This window comes from Homo sapiens, chromosome 7, assembly GCF_000001405.40.
Source record: "Homo sapiens chromosome 7, GRCh38.p14 Primary Assembly".
In the NCBI taxonomy this organism is placed as follows: domain Eukaryota; kingdom Metazoa; phylum Chordata; class Mammalia; order Primates; family Hominidae; genus Homo; species Homo sapiens.
The window spans coordinates 75,620,393-75,642,021 of NC_000007.14; the positions used below are offsets into that span (position 1 = coordinate 75,620,393).

At 50.1% G+C, this 21,629-nt stretch overlaps 1 protein-coding gene across 6 annotated transcripts in view, besides 6 other annotated features; it reads right to left on the reverse strand.

Annotated features, from left to right (window-relative positions):
• The window catches only part of HIP1 (huntingtin interacting protein 1), a 205,644-nt gene that overhangs the window by 87,095 nt on the left and 96,920 nt on the right, over positions 1–21,629 (reverse strand). For 2 of the 6 annotated variants that reach the window (XM_047420295.1, NM_001382444.1), the window contains exon 1: positions 18,659–18,850. The exons of 3 other annotated variants lie outside the window; for them this stretch is intronic. In XM_047420295.1, coding sequence (XP_047276251.1) covers positions 18,659–18,676 — 18 coding nt within the window. In that variant the 5' untranslated portion in view covers positions 18,677–18,850. Of the gene's footprint in view, positions 1–987; positions 1,523–18,658; positions 18,851–21,629 lie in introns of those variants that run through there. One more of the 6 variants, XM_017012099.2, reaches the window with a different exon arrangement.
• Positions 2,795–3,748: an enhancer, noted in NCBI's record as "H3K27ac-H3K4me1 hESC enhancer chr7:75252505-75253458 (GRCh37/hg19 assembly coordinates)". NCBI's record gives its function as "activates a minimal SCP1, AML or CMV promoter by ChIP-STARR-seq in primed H9 embryonic stem cells {active_cell/tissue: H9 hESC(primed)}" and the evidence as "EXISTENCE:reporter gene assay evidence [ECO:0000049][PMID:30033119]".
• Positions 3,749–4,702: an enhancer, noted in NCBI's record as "H3K27ac-H3K4me1 hESC enhancer chr7:75253459-75254412 (GRCh37/hg19 assembly coordinates)". NCBI's record gives its function as "activates a minimal SCP1, AML or CMV promoter by ChIP-STARR-seq in primed H9 embryonic stem cells {active_cell/tissue: H9 hESC(primed)}" and the evidence as "EXISTENCE:reporter gene assay evidence [ECO:0000049][PMID:30033119]".
• Positions 10,752–11,252: an enhancer, noted in NCBI's record as "H3K27ac hESC enhancer chr7:75260462-75260962 (GRCh37/hg19 assembly coordinates)". NCBI's record gives its function as "activates a minimal SCP1, AML or CMV promoter by ChIP-STARR-seq in primed H9 embryonic stem cells {active_cell/tissue: H9 hESC(primed)}" and the evidence as "EXISTENCE:reporter gene assay evidence [ECO:0000049][PMID:30033119]".
• Positions 18,976–19,075: a silencer, noted in NCBI's record as "silent region_18298". NCBI's record gives its function as "represses an Ori minimal core promoter by ATAC-STARR-seq in GM12878 lymphoblastoid cells {active_cell/tissue: GM12878}" and the evidence as "EXISTENCE:reporter gene assay evidence [ECO:0000049][PMID:35858748]".
• Positions 19,165–19,919: an enhancer, noted in NCBI's record as "NANOG-H3K27ac-H3K4me1 hESC enhancer chr7:75268875-75269629 (GRCh37/hg19 assembly coordinates)". NCBI's record gives its function as "activates a minimal SCP1, AML or CMV promoter by ChIP-STARR-seq in naive and primed H9 embryonic stem cells {active_cell/tissue: H9 hESC(naive and primed)}" and the evidence as "EXISTENCE:reporter gene assay evidence [ECO:0000049][PMID:30033119]".
• Positions 19,920–20,673: an enhancer, noted in NCBI's record as "NANOG-H3K27ac-H3K4me1 hESC enhancer chr7:75269630-75270383 (GRCh37/hg19 assembly coordinates)". NCBI's record gives its function as "activates a minimal SCP1, AML or CMV promoter by ChIP-STARR-seq in primed H9 embryonic stem cells {active_cell/tissue: H9 hESC(primed)}" and the evidence as "EXISTENCE:reporter gene assay evidence [ECO:0000049][PMID:30033119]".

Sequence of the window (21,629 nt, forward strand, 5' to 3'; positions counted from 1 at the left end):
AAAAAAAAAAAAGGCCAGGCACAATGGCTCATGCCTGTAATCCCATCACTTTGGGAGGCCAAGGTGGGTGGGTCACTTGAGGTCAGAAGTTCGAGACCAGCCTGGCCAACATGGTGAAACCAGTCTCTACTGAAAATACAAAAATTAGCCAGGGGTGGTGGTGCATGCCTGTAGTCCCAGCTACTCGGGAAGCTGAGGAACAAGAATTGCTTGAGCCTGGGAGGCAGAGGTTGCAGCGAGCTGAGATAGCACCATTGCACTCCAGCCTGGGTGAAAGAGTGAGGCTCTGTCTCAAAAACAAACAAACAAACAAATAAATAAACAAAACCAAAATAAAACAGCAAGGAACAGAGATGACGATCTCTGTCCTCACGGAGCTTATATTTTAGCAGGGGAGACAAGCAGTAAACAAATCGGATGGCGAGAGGTGCTATGGAAGAAAGATAAGGGCAAGGATAGGGCTGGAGTGTTCTAGGCAGCATTATAACCTCCCAAAGGGTCACTGAGAAAGGCTGTACTGAGGTGACAGAGGGATACAGACTTTAAAGTGACGAGAGGCTGGCGTGGTGGCTCACACCTAAAATCTCAGCACTTTGGGAGGCCGAGGAGGCAGGACTGCTTGAGACCAGGAGCTTGAGAACAGTCAGGGTGACATAGCAAGATCCTGTCTCTACAAAAAAATTTAAAATGAAAAAATTAGCCTGGCTTGGTGGCAGAGGTGGGAGGATGGCTTGAGCCCAGGAGTTTGAGGCTGCAGTGAGCTACGATAGGGCCACTGCACTCTAGCCTGGGCAGCAGAGTGAGACCCTGTCTCAAAAAATAAATAACATGAAGAGGAAGTGAGCCTGGTACACACCTGGGGGAAGAGTTCTAGGCACACGAGCAGAAGCCCAGCTGGCAGGCGCGAGGAAGTATGGCTAGAGCCGGAAGTCAGGGGCAGGAGGGGCCAAATCCCTAGAGGCCTCGTGGCTCATGGTGAGGACTGACCTTTGTTCCACATAAGACTGGGGCCACTGGAAGTGGTTTTGTTTTTTGCGGTTTTTGGTAAAGACGGGGTCTTGCCATGTTGCCCAGGTTGGTCTTGAACTCCTGGCCCCAAGCGATCCTCCTGCCTTGGCCTCCTAAATTGCTGAGATTAACAGGTGAGCCAGTGTGCCTGGCCTCCCTGGAAGGTTTTGAGCAAAGCGGTAAAACGATCTGATTCAATAGGATCCCTCTGGCTGCTGTGCTGAGAACAGACTGCAGGGACCAGTGTGGCTGCAGGGACCACAGTGAAGACTCTGCTGCCTTCAATCAGGACAGAATTGATGGTGGAGGCAGAGGAGGTGTCGAGACGTGGTCGGTCTCTGAATTTATTTTGAAGCTAGAGCTGATGGGATTATCTGATGTTCTGGATCTGGGGTGTGAGGAAGGAAGGAGTCAAGGAGAACATCGTGATGATTTGCCTGAGCAACTAGAGGGACTGAGCTGCCATTAACAAGCTGGGGGGACCCATGGGAGAGTTGGTTTGGGGCTAGGTTAGACATGACACACCCACCAGGTATCCCAGTGGAGCTGTGGGTGAGCAGTGGGCTGTGCCGCATCTGGAGTTCAGAAAAGGTCTAAGCTAGGCCAGGTGTGGTGGCTCACACCTGTAATCCCAGCACTTTGGGAGGCCGAGGTGGGCAGACCTCTTGAGGCCAGTTCGAGACCAGCCTGGCCAACATGATGAAACCCTGTCTCTACTAAAAATACAAAAATTAGCCAGATGTGGTGGTGCACGCCACCCAGCTGACTCGGGAGGCTAAGGCAGAAGAATTGCTTGAACTCAGGAGGTGAAGGCTGCAGTGAGCTGAGATCATGCCACTGCACTCTAGCCTGGGTGATAGAGTGAGACTCTGTCTCAAAAAAAAAAAGAACAGGTCTGAGCTACATTTATAAATTTGGACGGAATGTAAGAGTGGATAAGAGCACCAAGGAGTGAGTGCAGATGAGATGTCTGGGGACAGCCTGAGGACACCCCGACGTTCAGGAGAGACAGGAGGCCAGGTACGGGCAGTGGCTCATGCCTGTAATCCCAGCACTTTGGGAGTCCAAGGAAGGAGGATTGCTTGAGCCCAGGAGTTCGAGACCAGCCTGGGCAACACAGTGAAACCCCGTCTCTACCAAAAATACAAACATTGCAAGTCTTAAAACCTGGTCTCTAAATAAATAAATAAGGATAGGAGGGAATCAGTGATGGAGATAGAAAAGAAACAGCCTGTGAGGTTGGGGGAAGCCAGGAGACTGTGGCACCCTGGAAGCCATATGAAGAAATGCATTTTGACCGGGCATGGTGGCTGGTGCCTGTAATCCCAATGCTTTGGGAGGCTGAGGCAAGAGGACACTTTGAGCCCAGGAGTTGGAGGCTGTAGTGAGCTATGACTGCGTTACTGCACTCCAGCCTGGGCAACAGAGCAAGATTGTCAAATAAATAATTATCTATCTATCTATCTATCTATCTATCTATCTATCTATCTATCTATATATTTTTTAAAGGAAATTGGCTGGGTGTGGTGGCTCACGCCTGTAATCCTAGCACTTTGGGAAGCTAAGGCGGGCAGATCACCTGAGGTCAGGAGTTTGAGACCAGCCTGACCAACATGGTGAAAGCCTGTCTCTAATAAAAATAAAAAATTTAGCCAGGCGTGGTGGTGCGTGCCTGTAATCCCAGCTACTCGGGAGGCTGAGGCAGGAGAATCGCTGGAACCTGGGAGACGGAAGTTGCAATGAGCTGAGATTGTGCCTCTGCACTCCAGCCTGGGCAACAGAGCGGGACTCCATCTCAAAAAAAAAAAGCAAAAAAAAAAAAAAAAAAAGGCTCTCCCCCTCTGATGGTAGGTCGAGGAGAGAAAGGGGAGGCTGGGAGCTGGAGGCAATGAGTGCTCTACAGGGTTTCTGCTGTGAAGAGGGACAGAGAGAGAGGGCAGCCGCTGGGAGGAGGTGGGCTCAAGGTTTTCTTGTTTCCAGTGGGAGACATAATAATGCATTTGCATGCGCATGAGGAGAGGACGGGAGAGTGGCAGGGATGGGAATGGGGCCTGGTGCCCAGCAGGAGGGCAGGCTGGGCCAGATCCCACAGTACAGACACAGACGGAGGCAGACATGTGGGTGAGGGCAGTGCCAGTTTTCACAGATCGTCTCTCTTCACAGTGAAACAGGAAGCGAGGTCAGGGCTGAGAGCTCAGGATTTGAGGAATGCACAGGATGCCTGGAGCTGCACTCAAGGACCAGGCAAGTGGCACTTGGAGAAAGGAACTAAGCCAGCCTCCGCCTCCTCTTCTCCAGCCCAGTTCTCCCCAGAGCCTCTCCCTTGTCCTCAAACCAACTCTTCTCCTCCTCCTCATTGCCTTTCTGGCTTGTAAAGTGTTTGAGGCTGGGCACAGTGGCTCACGCTTGTAATCCCAGCACTTTGGGAGGCCGAGGCGGGAGGACTGCTTCAGCCTAGGAGTTTCAGACCAGCCTGGGGAGTAGTGAGACCCTATGTCTACAAAACATCAGAAAATTAGGGTGTGGTGGCTCATGCCTATAGTCATAGCTACATAGGAGGCTGAGGCAGGAGGATCGCTTGAGGGCAGGAGGATCACTCGAGCTCTGAAGGTCAACGCTGCAGTGAGCTATGATCGTGCCACTGCACTCCGGCCTGGGAGACAGAGCTGGACCTTGTAAAAGAAACACACGCACACCTCCAAAGCACAGACCTCGCTGATCTCAGGTCAGAACCAAAGAAAAGAGATGGAGTGAGCGGTGAGGCTGTGGTTACACTCTGGAGGCCACGGAATCAGGCAGGCAGAGGCGCTGATGGATACTCCCTGCTCTGGACCCAGGGAGTGAGAACAAGCTGGGGAGGATTTGCTAATCAGTTTTCTAAAGTGGAAAGAGAGGTTGTTGCTAATTCCGGAGGTGGATTTCATCATCGGCTGCACGGCTGTGACGTGACTTCCTCAGAAAGCAAAGCTGCCAGAAACTCTCCCTTCTACTTCTTCTGTCTTTGGGGTGAAGAAGAGCCCTTCCTTAGGGGAGTGGGGGGAAAAAGAGCTATGAGATTCAGAAGTATAGGGGTGTTGGCCGTGGGGGAGTCATCCAACAGGCCCCAGGCAGGGTAAGCCCCACCGAAGCCTCCAGGCCTGACAGCCTACTGGTCTCCTGGTGGCCACAACGTCACTGGAAGCCCCCTTTCTAAAGCACAGCTCCAATCATGTCAGAAACATCCAGGGCTTACGAGGAAACTGCTCCACTCCCTGGCCTGGCACTCAAGGCCTGGAGATCCGGCCCCCACTTGCCTTTCCAGTCTTAGAATTCATTCCTGTCCTTCCCTTTCCCAAATACGTCCTGTCTAATTTGACCCTCATGCCTTCTCTTCATGCCACCTCTCTAACCAAGATTAACTACCCTGCCAAAACCATCTCCATTTATTTAAGTTCCATCATTCATTCAGATAGTTATGATTTTATTCATTCATTGAATTCATCCATCAAATCTATATTCATCCCTCTGTGTCTGTACATAGGTGTATTTTTGTTTAATTTTTTTTTTTTTTTTTTGAGATGTCTTGCTCTGTCGCCCAGGCTGGAGTGCAGTGGTGTGATCTTGGCTCACTGCAGTGCCTCAGCCTGCCTCCTGAGTAGCTGGGAATTACTGGCACCTGCCACCACGGCCAGCTAATTTTTGTATTTTTACAATTAGTAGAGATGGGGTTTCATTATGTTGGCCAGGCTGGTCTCGAACTCCTGACCTCAGGTGATCCACCCACCTTGGCCTCCCAAAGTGCTGGGATTATAAATATAAGCCACCATTGTTTAAGTTTTTATAGAGATGGGGTCTCACTCTGTTGCTCAGGCTGGTCTCAAACTCCTGGGTAGGTGTATTGAGCACCCGGTCAAGTGTTGCATTAAGTCAACTCACAGATCACTAAGACTTAGTCCTGGTTTCAGAGTGAGGTCTAGATGGGGAGAAAGTGATGGCATTGTGTCCACCTTGTGAGAGGAGAGAGATTGGTGGGTATGGACTGTATGGAGGCCTGGGGTGTGGGCATCTATCTGAGGCTTAAGGATTGGTGATGGCTGCCTGAAGGAAGAACCAACCTAACCAGCTGAGAAGCTGGTGTGGAAAGGGGGCCTGCCAGGGCATTCAGGTAGAGATGACAGCATGACTGAGCCACAGAAGTGAGCAAGGCCCAGAGTTGGGGACTGGTGAACAGTCACTGTTTCTAGTGAGTAGAAAAGCAGAGATGGGGCGCTATAGTTTAAATATGTGTGTCCCCTCCAAAATTCATGTTGAAACTTAATCTCCATTGTGATGGTATGAAGAGGTAGGGACTTTTCGGAAATGATTAAGTCTTTTATAAGGACAAATGCCCTTATAAAAGAGGCTTTGGAGGCCGGGCGTGGTGGCTTATGCCTGTAATCCCAGCACTTTGAGAGGCTGAGGCAGGTGGATCGTTTGAGCCCAGGAGTTTGAGGCCAGCCTGGGTAACATGGTGAATCCCTGTCTCTTAAAAAAAAGAGGCTTTGGAGAGCTGCTTGCCCTTTCTACCTCTTCTGCATGCGAAGGCACACCAGTCATCTCTTCTACCTTTTTTTTTGCCATGTGAGGATGCGGCGAGAAAATGCCATCTATGGAACAGGTTCTTGCCAGTCACTGAATCTGGTGGCGCTGTGATGTTGGACTTCCCAGCCCCCAGAACTGTGAGAAATAAGCTTCTATTGTTTATAGACCCAGTCTATGGTATTTTGTTATAGCAGCAAGAATGGACTAAGACCAGGGCCATGACCTGGAAGCCTAATTTATAGAGCCATAGGGCAGCCGCCCAAGGAAACTTCCCCTGTACTTACTACCCAGCTTGAAACACATTAGCAAAAAGAATTCTTGAAAGCTAAAACCTCAAAGCCTAAGTCCTTAAAGAGTAAGTAAGCCAATGGATACATATACTTAGGTGAATGCACAAGGATTTCACCCCAATAGTGGAAAATGTTATTAATAGAGGACAGATCACAATGAAATGATACATCGCCCCCTGGTCATCTGGAATTATAGTGATACTAACATTGACTGAATGATACATGTCAAGGCATTGGTCTAAACACTTTATATGTGGTAATTCATCTGCCCTCACCACAACCCGGTATGGAAGGTAATATGCCTATCCCCACTGTACAAGAGGGAAAGCCTGGCAAAGGGAGACCTCAGTAGCCCACCCAGGTAAGCACACAGTGGAAACTGGTTTTGAACCCATGAACCCAGAACCCATGGATGGCCTGGACCACTGTGATATATTATTTCTAGATCTCCAGCATGGTGAAAACAAAAATTAAAGTCTACAAAACCGTATTATGGTATGGCCCCATTTTGTTTAAATATGTGTGTATTTGTCTGTGTGTACATGCTTGTGTTTGATTGAATCAAATGAAAATTTGGCTGTTTTTGACTTATATAAAAGGCAATTTCATAAGGTTCAACCTAGTGCATGCACACAAACACACACACACACACACACACACACAGAAAAGTCTGTAAGAACCTACACTAAATTGTTAACAGTAGTTTTAGATGGTGGAAAAATATTTGATCTTTATTTTCTTTATACCTTTTCATATTTTCTGAAAAGTGGCAGAAGTTTAACATTTCTGTGGATTACCTGTTTCCTTACTGCTGGTGCTGATGACCTCAGCTATGTGGTATTAAAATGTACTCAGTGTGCAGGAGCCCCAGCCCGGCAAACTACAGCATCAGGGTCCAGTGCACTCAAGGCTATCTCTCCTCGGGGACAGAGAAGCCAAAGTGTGTACTTCAATGAAGCAAGTGCTTAGAACAGCACATGGCATATCAAGGGCACTCTATAAACCTTTTCCAAATAAATGAATGAATGGTCACTTTCTCCACCCCACTTCCTACACCACTTGGCAGAATCAATCATTCCTACTTAGTTTCTATAGGAGTTTCCTTAAATCTCTATAGAATAAAGAACCCAGTAACCTGCCCAGGTAAGTGGTAGAGACAGATTTTGAACCCCAGGACCCAAGGCCTTGACCACTCTGAAATACTGTTCCTAGATCAAAGTGAGGGGCCCTTTGAGATTTGACTTCTCTGAGCCTCAGTTTCTCCAGCTTGAACATGAAAATAGGAATCACACTTTTCTGAGAATTGCATGAGACACGGTGCTCTGTCACCTCCAGCCTTGTTCCAGTTGATGTTACTTGGGTAGGGCTGAGAGGGCCTTGTTTATTGTGGGTAGCATCAAGTCCACACCCAGGGCCATGGCCAGAGAACTGCCCATTTGACCTTGCCTCCCTTACTGGAGATTTGTTGGATATAAGAGGCAGCATCTTCCCTCCAACTACTAGAAAATCTGGCAGAAGTGGATGAGTGTTCAGTGCTCTGTAGACCCTCTGGCTGACGGCTGGATCCACAGTTGAGTAGACCTCAGGATGATGGTCAAGGGGAGCTGGGCACAGGGAAAGGGCCCTGAGGTTTAGACTCAGACAACTCTCAGCAATGAGCCATGAGCTAAATCTGGAGTCCAGGATTTCAGCCAGACTGTAAGCCAAGTACACACCATGAACAGGGGTTCCAGAGTTCCCTGGCAGCCAAGGAAAATCCCCTGCTAGGAATGAATGTGCTCACTCCTCTTTCACAATTCTTATCCAAGCATATTTAGAACAGTGCAGCCATTTCTGCATCTAACCCCATTTCCTGGATCATTTACCACCTTCCAACAGCCTACAAAATTTTCTCATTTACATTTATTGCTATTATCTATGACTCATCCCCTCAGTCCCTGCAGGAGCTCAGCTCCACAAGGCAGGAATCTTTGTTTGGTTCAGTGAAGTATCCCAAGTGCTTGGAACAGCACCTGGCATATGGAAGACACTCTATAAATCTTTTCTGAATAAATGAATAAATGAAATGTCACCTTCCCCACCCCACTTCCTGTACCATTTGGCAGAATTAGTCATCTTGCCTCTGAATGTCTATAGAACTTTCCTTAAATCTCTCATATTGTACCAATCACACTATTGTGATTATTAACATTAATCTAATATTATAATTTTATCTCCTGTACCTCTTTTTTTTTTTTTTTTTTTTTGAGACAGAGTCTTGCTCTGTCACCCAGGCCAGACTGTAGTGGCACAATCTCGGCTCACTCCAACCTCTGCCTCCCGGGTTCAAGTGATTCTCGTGCCTCAGCCTTCCAAGTAGCTGGGATTACAGGCACGTGCTGCCGCACCCGGCTAATTTTTGTATTTTTAGTAGAGACGGGGTTTCACCATGTTGGCTGAGCTGGTTTCAAATTCCTGACCTCAAGTGATCCACCTGCCTTGGCCTCCCAAAGGGCCGGGATTGCAGGTATGAGCCACTGCATGCGGCCTGTACCTCTTTTAAGGAAGAAGCCATCAAAGGATCACTTTCTCTCTTACATTATCTACACCTGGCATGAGGTCTGGGTGGGTCCTCAGTGTCTGCTGACTCAGGGGACAATCTTCACATATACAGGGCAAAAAAGACAATAGCCAGGACCCTGGTTGTAACCATTAGAAACATCCCTACCCAGCACTGGGGCTGGTGACATGATCTTGAGCTAGGGGGAGTAGGGAGGCAGTGATTTTGTAAGACTTCTTCCTAGCCTGAGAAAAATCCAGCAAGAAAAAGTTATTTTAGGTCCCAGAATACGAGGCTGAACTGAGTCCTCCAAAGAGAGGTTAAGATAGAAAGTTAATGAAATGTTCATTTCAAAAAAACTTTGCCCAACCCACGGTTTGCAACTCCCACACTTATCCTGGTACCAGTGAGAGCCATCTCCAGGCCCGGGTAGCAGTAGGCAGCGTAAACCCGTTGGCCAGAATAGCATATCCACGTCTGATTGTCAAGTGGAGGCAGCCCCGCTTACTGGCTCTACTAGAGACTTGCTGGTTATTTTTAACACAGGCCCTCACACCTGTGCCCACTCCTCCTCTCCATTCCTCTGGCCCCGCTCCTAACAAACCTACTCAACATTCATTCCCCAGGGTTGTATGTTCAGCCTGTGTGCAGCACCTCTCTCTCAACTGGAATGTCTTCTTTTGTCTTTTAATCATTCATGCATTCAGCACCCATTGTGCATCCTGTATTTCCTTCAATTGCGGCTCCCCCGCTTTTCTTTTTTTTTTTTTTGAGATGGAGTCTTGCTCTGTCGCCCAGGCTGCAGTGCAGTGCTGCAATCTTGGCTCACTGCAACCTCCGCCTCCCAGGTTCAGGCGATTCTCGTGCCTCAGCCTCCTGAATAGCTGGGATTACAGGCGTGAGCCACCACGCCCAGCTAATTTTGTATTTTTAGTAGAGACGGGTTTTCTCCATGTTGGTCAGGATGGTCTCAAACTCCCGACCTCAGGTGATCCTCCCGCCTCGGCCTCCCAAATTGCTGGAATTATAGGTGTGAGCCACTGCGCCCGGCCTGCTCCCCTTCTTAAAGCACAGCTCTTCCAGGTATCACTGAGGTGTAAAAAGATTCAGCTTTGGGAGGCCAAGTTGGGAGGCCGAGGCAGGAGTATTGCTTGAGGCCAGCAGTTCAAAACCAGCCAGGGAAACATAGCAAAATCCTGTCTCTGCAAAAAAGTTAAAAATTGCTGGGCATGGTGGCATGCACCTGTAGTCCCAGCTACTTGGGAGGCTGAGGTGGGAGGATCACCTGAGCCTGGGAGGTTGAGGCTGCAGTGAACTGGAACTGGAATTGCACCACTGCATTCCAGCCTCAGGGATAGAGTGAGACCTTCTCTCTGAAAAGGAAAAAAAGCCAGCACAGTGGCTCATGCCTATAATCTCAGCACTTTGGGAGACCAAGGCGGGCATATCTCTTGAGCTCAGGGATTCAAGACAAGCCTAGGCAACAAGGTGAAACTCCGTCTCTACAAAACATACAAAAATCAGCCAGGTATGGTGGTGTGCACCTGTAGTCCCAACTACTCGGGAGGCTGAGGTGGGAGAATCACTTGAGCCTGAGAGGTTTGAGGCTGCAGTGAGCTGTGACTACACCACTGCACTCCAGCATGGAGGATAGACCGAGATCCACCTCAAAAAAAAAAAAAAAAAAAGATTTGTGTTCTGTATCCTGGAAACTTTGTTAGCCCACAGAGATAGGGAGTGTGCCTACTTTTCAAGCATCGACCAGAGGTAGTTTCTGAACAAATCCTGTGGTTTCATGACCTTACCCTTTTAGCGTGCCTGAAATACCCTTATTTTCCTCCTTCCAGGGGATCTTCTTCCCCTCTGTCCCCAGTTTTCTTAATGATACCCTTCCTTAAGTTGCCGGCTGGTTAACCCCACCTTCTCCAGGCTGACACATGCCCCATCCTTTGTGCATTGCACCACATGTATTGCAACTACTAACAGGTCTGATTGCCCCGGCAGACTGAGCTCACCCAGCAGTGATCATTCTGCAAGAAGCAATGCTCCCCTCTTTCCCTGAAGTTTTCAGATTTTATTTGTAGCCTAAATGAAAGAGCAAACATATTTCTAATGATAGCCATGGTTTACTAAGCCCCTCCTATGTGCCAAGTACTGTATTTTGTATTTTATCTTATTTTTTTAGACAGGGTCCTGCTCTGTCACCCAGGCTGGAGTGCAGTGGTGCAATCACATCTCACTGCAGCCTTGAACTCTTGGGCTCAAGTGATCCACCTGCCTCAGCTGGGAGGATCCCTAGTAGCTGAGACCACAGGCTCATGCGACCAAACCCAGATAATTTGTTTTTTAAATTTTTTTTTTTTTAGTAGAGATAGGATCTTGCTATTTTTCCCAGGCTGGTCTTGAACTCCTGGGCTCAAGTGATCCTCCCGCCTTAGCCTCCCAAAGCACTGGGATTACAGGCATAAGCCACCATGCCTGGCTTGTGTCAAGTACTTTAAGTGAGCATCTTGACAGTGCTGCAAGTCTGCAGACACCAACCTGCCTTAGAAGCGAGGAAACAGTATGAGGAGATCAACTAACTTGTCTACGATCTGAGAGTCGGCAAGTGGTAGCAACGGGACCTTAGCCTCTGTGATTCCAAAGCCCAGGCTCAGCATCTGGAGCAGCCTCAGGATGCAGACGAGCCTCCCTTAATCCTCTGTGCACAGGGGACAGGGCTGTGGAGTCTGGCTGGGATCCCACTCACTCAACCATTCCCATTTACAAATATGCCTCCCACCCTGACCCCTCTCTACCTGCCCACAGGAACCTCCTCCAAATTAAAGATGCATTAGGACTTTAGGGAATCTAAAGGACACATGGGGAATTTATTTATTTTTTCTTGAATGACCCATGGATTAATTTATTTGGGGCTCCGGAGCAGGGGGAATCTTCTCCGATTATGGAAACCTTTGGCTCAGGGGCAGGTGTGAGACTACGTGCCTGTCCTGGGTTTGAACTGGGACCTCTCTGGGCAAGAAGGGAGACAAAGGTGGAGGGGAAACAGCACTTGGACTTGAGCTTCAAGAAACTCACCCAGCTGCGCGTGTGTTGTGGGGGAGATTGGAGTAGGGGAAAGACGGCAGGAAATGGGGAAGTGGGAGGGAGAGATAGTGTGATGGGGGCAGAAAAGCACTGTGGGAGGGGCTGTCTTAAAACCCATGTTTGCATCTGGACTTAGCCCCTGACCAGAAGTGCAACTCGGAGGGGCCTCCGAAGACAGGTGCTCGTAGGACACTAAATCCTGCTTCACAAGGCCGCTGTGAGGAAGAAAATAATCCAGGTGAGATTGTTCTGTCAATTGCAAATGTCTATTGATGCGTGGTCGCCCTTGGTGCATTTCAAGGAAATCTCTCTTTCAACTCTGTAAGCCTTTTCGACAGACAAGGACTCAGCCATCCTCAGCCCTGGATCCTTTCATATCTTAACGTCCTCACCCAGGGGCCTACGTAAAAAGGGGGTATTCAGTATGTGAGTGAATTGAATGGAACCTCATCTTGGTGAGATAAAATCTTAGTGATCAGTGACGATGAAAGATAGTAATCCACAAATGGTAAACCAAAAATTCTTTTCTCCTAAGCAATTTTTTTTAGAGAAAAGGTCTCACTCTGCCACCCAGGCTGGAGTGCAGTGGTGTTATCATAGCTCACGGCAGCCCTGACCTTTTGGGCTCAGCCTCCCGAGTAGCTGAGATTACAGGCGCACACCACCATGCCTGGCTAATTTTTTCTTTTTTTTTTTTTTTTTGTAGAGACAGGGTCTCACTATGTTGCCCAGGCTGGTCTCAAACTCTTAGGCTCAAGCGATCCTCCTGCCTCAACCTCCCAAAGTGCTGGGATTACAGGTGTGAGCCACTGTGCCTGGCCAATTTCCATTCTTTACAAATTACCAGGTCTCAGATATTGTTAAAGCAGCGCAAATGGACTATGCAACTGACCGTAGTAAAAAACACATTTTACTGTGGTACACATACACCATGGAATACTCTGCAGCCATAAAAAGGAACAAGATTATGTCCTTTGCAGGGACATGGATGGAGCTGGAAGCTGTTATCCTCAGCAAAATGACACAGGAACAGAAAACGAAACACCGCATGTTCTCACTTATAAGTAGGACCTGAGTGATGAGAACACATGGACACGTGGCAGGGAATAATGCACACTGGGGTCTGTCAGAGGGTGGGGAGGGAGAGCATCAGGAGGAATATCTAATGGATGTTGGGCTTAACACGTAGGTGATGGGTTGATCTGTGCAGCAAACCAGCATGGCACGTGTTTACCTATGTCACAGACCTGCACATGTACCCCTGAACTTAAAAGTTGAAGAAAAAAAAAATACATTTTACAGGGCCACCCAGTACTTACTCATGTGCATGCATAAGATACAACCAAAATCAGTTTCATGATCTAATGCTTACCCTCTCACATGGAATATACCTGGATGTTTTCTCATCTATTTCACTCGTGTTTTTATTTTTTTGAGATGGTCTCTTGCTCTGTTGCCCAGGCTGGAGTGCAGTGGTGCGATCTCAGCTTACTGCAACCTCTGCTTCCCGGGTTCAAGCAATTCTCCTGCCTCAGCCTCCCGAGCAGCTGGGATTACAGGCGTGTGCTGCCTCACCTGGCTAATTTTTGTATTTTTAGTAGAGATGGGTTTCACCATGTTAGCCAGACTGGTCTCTAACTCCTGACCTTAGTTGATCCTCCCGCCTTGGCCTCTCAAAGTGCTGGGATTACAAGCGTGAGCCACCGCGCACCTGGCCTATTTCACTCTTTCATATGCTGGCTGAAACCCACTAAATGGATTTTGTGGCCCAGGGCTGAAAACGCTGCTCTGTTTGCTGGGCAGGTCACCCATCAGTCCTTGGCATCATTTTGCACAGCGATCTCTCCAGTTGGGCATTTAACTTCTACCACATCCCTCCTCCAACCCAGCAAATACATGTGATACCAGCAGCAACAACAGGTTGACCAGAAGTCTTTTCCGCTCTGCCATCAATATCATTTACTCAGAACATCTGAAATACCTTCTTTCCACCCCTCTCATCGGCCTGCTGGGTAAGTCAGGTGTCTCAAATTTGAGGAAGCAGTGAGATTCAGGAAGAAACTCCTGAATTTTAAAAACAGCTATAGGGCTATAGGGAGCAGGGCACAGTGGCTCACACCTGTAATCCCAGCAATTTGGGAGGCTGAGGTGGGAGAATCGCTTGAGCCCAGGAGTTCTAGACCATACTGGGCAACATATCAAAACCTCGTCTCTACCAAAAATAAAAAAAGGCAGTCAAACATGGTGGTGGTGCCTGCCTGTTGTCCCAGCTACTTGGGAGGCCGAGATGGGAGGATTGCTTGAGCCTAGGAGTTCGAGGCTGCAGTGAGCTGTGATCGCACCACTGCACCCCAGCCTTGACAACAGAGTGAGACCTTGTCTCTAAAAAAAAAAACCAACAAAAACAGATAGAGGGGATTTACGAGGCTCAGAGTCCACATATAGACACTCATCCTTCTTTCCTAAGTCTTCTCCCCTAGGAACCCAGAGGCCAAAGGCCACGACCCCCAGCTCATCTTTTGAAATTAACTTGTGTCCATTCTAGAATCTAGTCACTAAATCTTTTTCATTACCTTTTATTTATTATATCGCTATAGCGCATACTTTGACTGTCAGAGAACTGGATACAAGACCTGGTTCTAACCCCGGTATGGAATATCAGATGTCACTTTTCTGAACTAATTTTCTGTAAAACGTGGCTAATCACTTCTGCCCTGCCTTCCTCATGGGGTTGCAGTGAGAACAAGTGTGAAAATGCTTTTATATAGGCCAGGTGTGGTGGCTCATGCCTGTAATCTCAGCACTTTGGGATGCTGAGGCAGGAGGATCACTTGAGGCCAGGAGTTCAAAACCAGCCTGGGCAACATAGAAGACCCCCGTCTCTACAAAAGTAAATAAATAAATAAAATAAAAATTAGCCTCGCTTGGTGGCTCATGTCTGTGGTCCTAGCTACTCAGGAGGCAGAGGCGAGACAATAGCTTCAGCCCAGGAGTTCGAGGCTAGAGTCAGCTACAATTGTGCCACTGCACTCCAGGCTAGGTGACAGAGTGAGACACTATCTCTGAAAAAAAAAAAAAAAAAAAAAAAAAGGAAACAAAATGCCTTGTATACTGTAAAGCACCACACAAATATAAATTGTTATGTAAACATTATGTTCTTTGGTAATAATTGATAGCGTTGACTCTATTTCCCAAATTACAGTACTGTGTACTCTGTGTGTTTAGTGAAAGGCACACCCTCCATCATCAACCCCTAAAAGGTATCTGCACTTTATCCCTGAGTGCAGGGTTAAACCAGCTCTCCCTTGGGCAGATATCTGATGTCATCAAAAATTCATGGGTCGCAGCAGCTGGTAAATCCACTGTCTCCAGTCGTGTGTACCCTCATTCACAAAAATCACCAGGCCTGGGAGAATTAGCCCCAAGAGCTGTCAACTGAAATACAGCCTGTGCTCAGCTCTGCAGGCCAATCAAAAAAGTAAAGCATGAGAGGGAAATCAAGAGTCACCTTAGGCCCAGATGAGACGAGAGATCATTATCAGAACAGCCAAATTAGTCGGGCATGGTGGCGGGCGCCTGTAATCCCAGCTACTCGGGAGGCTAAGGCAGGAGAATCGCTTGAACCCAGGAGGCGGAGGCGGTGGTGAGCCGAGATCGTGCCACTGCACTCCAGCCTGGGTGACAGAGAGAGACTCCATCTCAAAAAAAAAAAAAAAAAAAAGAACAGCCACTAGTGTGTGGAAGATTTACTACTCCAGCTTCTATGCCTTAAAAGGATTATTTCCAACCTTCTCTATTATTATGTTCATGATACAGATGAGGGTAAGAGGTTACAGAAGAAACTTGCTAAAAATCATGCAGGGACGCAATGTACAGTGGCTCACACCTATAATCCCAGCAGTTTGGGAGGCTTAGGTGGGTAGATTGCTTGAGCCCAGGAGTTCGACACCAGCCTGGGCAACATGGCAAAACTCCGTCTCTGCAAAAAATACAAAAATTAGCTGGGTGTAGTGGTGTGCGCCTGTAATCCCAGCTACCCAGGAGGCTGAGGTAGGGAGGATCACTTGAACCTGGAAGGCGGACGTTGCAAATGAGCTGAGAATGCGCCACTGCACTCCAGCCTGGGCAACAGAACAAGACCCTGTCTCAAAAAAAAAAAAAAAAAAAAAAAAAATCATGCAGAGGCCAGGTGTGGTGGCTCACGCCTGTAATTCTAGCACTTTGGGAGGCTGAGGTGGGTGGATTGCTTGGGCCCAGGAGTTTGAGACCAGCCTGGCCAACATGGTGAAACTCTGTCTCTACTAAAAATACAAAAATTAGCTGGGCATGGTAGTGCTGGGGGCGCGCGCCTGTAGTCCCAGCTACTAGGGAAGCTGAGGCACGAGAATCGCCTGAACCCGCGAGGCAGAGGGTGCAGTGAGCCGAGACTGCACCACTGCACTCCAGCCTGAGTGACACAGCGAGACTCTGTCTCAAAAAAAAAAAAAAAAATCACGCAGAATCAGGTAAACTATAATCTGCTTTTCCTCACTCTGCGTAAGCAGGAGAAACCTCCAAGGCTGACATTGGACTCTGTCAAGGATGTTCCTGAAAGGCTGCGTTTGAGGTCAAGCCTGCAGCCAAAGGCCCCCAGAGCGAGGACTTCAAACCAGAGATGGGAATTTAATGGCCAGAACAGAAAGTACTTTTGGCCTCTTGCAGGAATGAAAAGCAGACACCAATTCCCCAGGGTGGGTAAGGTTCTCCTTGCTACACAGGCACAGGTCTGTGCTCTTTACAAAGAGCTGCAGACGATTGTTTCTGGATTGGGCGCTTGGCTGCTCAATGATTAATGAGAATCTAATATCACTTTTGTTTGGACCCCAAGCTAAAAGAGGAAAGAGGCAATAGATGCACCTCCCCAGGGCTCAGAATTCTCCAGAGGTTTCCCAGTGCTTACGGGCCAGGGTCAGAATGCCTTGGTTGGCATTCAGGGACTTGCTGGTCTGGCCCCAAACAACCATCTCGATGTTTCCTGATTTCAAACCTCTGTACCAGCCAAATGTCTTCAGCCTCACCCAATGGACTCTGCCCATCCTCTTCCTGCGATTCTCCCAACAGGCAATGCCTACCCCACCCAACCTCCAAGGGCCAACTGAGGTCTTGGTCTTCCTTCTGAACTCTGCACTCCAGTCCCTTCTCAGACCCCCATGGTCCTCAAAGCTTTGGCCTTCTGATCCAGGCCTGTATTGATAGCTAACTGTTGAGTCGGCCTGTATCTCTCTGGATCCTTCACTTTCATGCTAAGGGCCTTGAGAAGCAGGGAGGGAGGCCTTCGATGATGTTTCTTTGTGTTCTTTACCCAGCACTTGCTATAGAAATTATGAGAATTAAATAAATGCTGTTGATTAATGAGGGATGGATGGACAGAGGTCCCTGAGTCCTATAAGCTTGTCCTTGCAGGCCAAGCTTTGCAGGGAACCTGGGTGCAGGGCTGGGAGGATGCTCAAGGGTGATTCGGTTTAGTGGCCATTGGACTAAAGTAGAGTTTCGAAGCTTCAGATCCCTCAACCTCCTAATCATAGCCCAGACAGATGAGTCTTCTGGTCTTGCTCAGACACCTCTAGGAAAGAACTACTGCTTAGTTTTCTACATCTCCACCCCCATAGCTGCAGAGAGGATTTTTTTTTTTTTTTTTTTTTTTTTTTGAGAGGGAGTTCTAATACATGCCCAAAGAAAGCGAGATTTCATGGCAGACAGACAAGGAATGCTGGTCCAACCTCTGGGCACTCACTGCCCAACCATGAACAGGTATTTCTCTCCAAATAAAGATAGGAACCCAAATAAAGACATGAAGCCCCTCAAGCAGCCCCCAACCCCAGGGGCAATGCTCAGTCAGTCTGAGACTGATGCAGGCCATAGAATAGGACTCTCCCCTGTCATCAGCCCCCATCCCATTGTCTCCTAGCCAAGACAGAGTGCCAAAGGCCAGGGCCGGGCAGAGAACCAACCTCCCTTGGTTGCCTCGAAAGGGCACCCTCTGGGGAAAAGTAATATAATTCTGAACAAGATAAACTCAAATTCTAGTACCTCCTCATCTCTATGGCAAGGGCAGACCCAGACCCCCCCCCCCCCCCCACACACACACATACACACACACACACACACACACACACACAGCCCACGACAGCTCCTTTCCTCGAAAGCCCTGATTGCCTCCCCCCTCCCAAGACCCGCCTGACACACAGGCCCTTGAGGGTTGCAAGGCTGGACGGTAGGGACAGTACCCTGGTCTAAACTCGGGGTCAGGGTGATTGAGATGGCAAGGGCACCCTTAAATCTCCATTCAGAGTGACAGCCAATCAAGACCCCTGGGAAAACCTGCAGTTTCCGGGCCTCCAGGTGCTCCCTGCGAACCCCCCTCCCATCAGAATCCCCCAAATCACATCCTGGTACCGGCTGAAGGCTGCTCCTTGGTCTCAATCAATAAGCAATGATTTCTTCAAGATCCTACTGTATTCGCGGTGGAGGTGGGGGTGGAGGGCTTCTCTGGGGGAGGGCACAGACCCCTCCAGAGGAGCCCATTTCTAAAGGAAAGGCGGAGTCATGCTTAGGAGGCGAAGGTGTTGGCTGCACCTCAGGCCCACTGAAGCTGGGGTTCCCAAGTGGCCAACCTAGAACCTTCCCCGTCTCTGCCAAGGGCTCCATTCCTGCCCCCTCACCTCCTAGGATGGTTGAAACCTGGCTTCTCACTGTCCTCCCAGCGCCACCTGTGCCTCCCTGCCCACGGGCTCAGCCCCACACATCTTCCATCGATCTCCTGTAGGTGTGCGGGCAGGGGGCTCCGGAGGGCACGGTACAAGCCCCTTCCGGCGGCGCTGCCCTCCCTCCCGTCCGGCAGGTCTCCCGAGGTGGGCGGCGAGCCCCGCAGCCCAGTCCCTGGAGTCCAGCGCGATCTCCCGGGCAGCCCGGCGGCGGCGCGGCGGGAAAGCCAGAGCCCATCCCGGCCGGCCAGCCGCCTCCAGAATCCTGGCCCGGCTCCCTCCTCCGGCACGCCTGGAGTTGGGGCCAACAGGCAGGATCAACAATCCAGAAACTTTCAATGGATCGCGCCGGCTAGGAGGGGGAGAAGGGAGGGCGCCAGGGCTGGGGGTGTGGGGAGGGGGCTCGGGGCAAAGCCCCTGCTCACACTTACCATCTTGCTCACATCCATGACCGAGGCTGCGGGGCACCCCCCCACCCCTGGAGATCCCGCTTCCCCCAAAGCTGCTCCCGGCTAATCGCGCCCCGAGGGTGCCATGCTGCGGGGAGGGCGGCCGGCAGGGCCCCCGCGGACCGGGGCAGGCGGCGGCGGCGGCGGCGGCACCAAGGCTGGACCGGAGAAAGGAAGGGGAGGGGGAGGGGAGGCGGCGAGGGGGAGGGGGAGGGGGGCGGGCGCGGAGCCGCAGCGCGCGCCGGGGGCGGGGGAGGCGCGGCCCCGCCGGCAGAGACCGGCGCGCCCGAGCCCCCGGGGACCGGGAAATCCCGGAATCAGCTGGCGGGGGCGCGAGGGGAGACCGGGAGGCGGGTTCCCGGGCCAGATCCCGCGGCCCCCGGGCTCGCACGGCGAGGATGTGATTTGAATAACAAAAGGTGGCTTCTCCCCAGAGTTCCCGGTGGCGGGGATCGCCGATCCCGGAGCGAGAGGCCGCCGGCCCGCCAGGAAGCGTGTGTGTGTGTGTGTGTGTGTGTGTGTGTGCGCCCGCGTGTGTGTGCAGGCGTGCGTGTGCATGCATGCGTGTGTTTTGGTGGTGGGATCAGTGGGACTCAGGAAGTGAGCAGGGGAGGTGGTGAAAAAGGAGGGACAGATGGGGGGCGCAGGAGGCCGACATTCCAGTGGGGGCAGGGGGTCCGCTCGGCCCCTCCCCACTTGGCTTCCCTGGACAAAGGGGGAATTCACGGCCAGTTGTTTGCCTCCTGCGGCTAATCTGGAGGGGCCTCCCGAATGAGACTGGGGTCTCCAAACAGATGGGCAATTGGGAGGAAGTGGAACAGGTATCCCCAGGAAGGCTCTGAGCGTCCCCCTCCCACGTGAGCCACAGCCAGCCCTTCCTGGAGTGAGGGAAATTGGCTCCGTGGTTCCTAAATGATGTCTGCCCTGAGCTGGGAGCTCCTTTCTCTCAAGCCAGAATCCCGATGTCCCTTTCCTTATTCGATGCCGAAATGCAAGGCAGACATTCCCCTCTGCAGTAGACACAGCTGGTGGCCTCAAAAGGTCTCCTGGCAAATGCTCCTTTGGGGCAAGTTCTCCGGAAAAAGCCTGGCCATTCAAGCCTATAGTTTCAACACAGTCTGTCCCCCCAAAATCAGATGGCAGTAAAGTTTTGGATGCAGCAGGGACCTGAGAGTCCACCTAGATCAACCCCACTTTATACGGAGAGGAAACTGAGATCCAGAGAGGGAGAGGGAGGTGCCCCAGGTCACACACCCGGCAGGGACTGGGGAGCAGGGCAGACTTCAGTAAGGACCATCCAGCCCAAGCCCAGAAGGGCTTCCCATGCTGCCACGGGGCAACCATGAAGTTAGGGCTTTTAAAATAATGAACAGGTGGGCCTGGCTCCCGGCGGGCTCACGCCTGTAATCCCAGCACTTTAGGCCTGTAATCCCAGCACTTTGGGAGGCTGAGGCAGGCAGATTGCTTGAGGCCAGGAGTTCAAGACCAGCCTGGCCAAAATGACGAAACTCCCGTCTCTACTAAAAATACAAAAATTAGCCGGGTGGGGTGGTGTGCGCCTATAATCCCAGCTACTCGGGAGGCTGAGGCAGGAGAATCGCTTGAACCTGGGAGGCAGAGGTTGCAATGAGCCAAGATCACACCACTGTGCTCCAGCCTGGATGACAGAAGGAGACTCCATCTCAATAATAATAATAATAATAATAATAATAATAATAAATAATGAACAGGTGATGGGATCCAGAACAGCTGCGAGGCCGACCTCTGCACCCACATGAAGGGACCCACATGAAGGGGCCCTGAGGAGAAGGCATCTCCTATCATGGCCCCAGGACCTGCTGGGCTTGCCCTATCACAGCCCCTTCCTGTCAAAGCTGAGTTCTTATCGATGAAATTGGGACTCTATCTGCCTGCCTCCTAGGGGTATGTGAGAACATCAAGATATAAGAAATAATATCTTGGGCTTGGTGGTTCACGCCTCTAATCCCAGCACTTTGGGAGGCTGAGGCAGGTGGATCACTTGAGGCCAGGAGTTTGAGACCAGCTGGGCAACATGGCGAAACCCCGTCTCTACTAAAAATACAAAAATTAGCTGGTCATGATGGCGCACACCTGCAATCCCAGCCACTCGATAGGGTGAGGCAGGAGAATCGCTTGAGCATGGGAGGCAGAGGTTGCAGAGGGCCAAGATCACACCACTGCACTCCAGCCTGGGTGGCAGAGTGAGACTAGGGTCTTGCTATGTTGTACAGGCTGGTCCCTTCAGGAGTTTGAGAACTCCTGGACTCAAGCAATCCACCTGTCTCAGCCTCCCAAAGTGCTGGGATTACAGGTGTGAGCCACCATGCTCAGTCTTCCCTCTATTTTATTTGTTTTTTCTTTTTTGGTTTTCTTTTTCTTTCTTTTTTATTTGCTCCTTGTTTGCTTTTTTTTTTTCTTTGAGACAAAGTCTCACACTTGTTGCCCAGGCTGGAGTGCAATGGTGCAATCTCAGCTCACCACAACCTCTGCCTCCTGGGTTCAAGAAATTCGCCTGCCTCAGCCTCCTGAGTAGTTGGGATTACAGGCATGTGCCACCATGCCCAGCCCCGGCTAATTTTGTATTTATAGTAGAGACGGGGTTTCTCCATGTTGGTCAGGCTGATCTCGAACTCCCGACCTCAGCCTCCCAAAGTGCTGGGATTACAGGCGTGAGCCACTGTGCCTGACTGTTTTTCTACATTCACAATCTGTTCTTCCTCCTGTTTTCTGGCTCAACTAATGGTTCTACCTCCACTGAGCTGGTTAAGCTGGAAACTTCAAAGGCAGCCTTAATTCCTCCAGCAACAATCCCCGCTCCCACTCCATCTAATCAGGTCCCACATCCCTGCGATTCTTTCTTGCAAGTAGCTTCCAATCTATGTCTTATTGACTATTCCTTCCCTGGATAAGACTTTCGACAACAGCCTCTGCC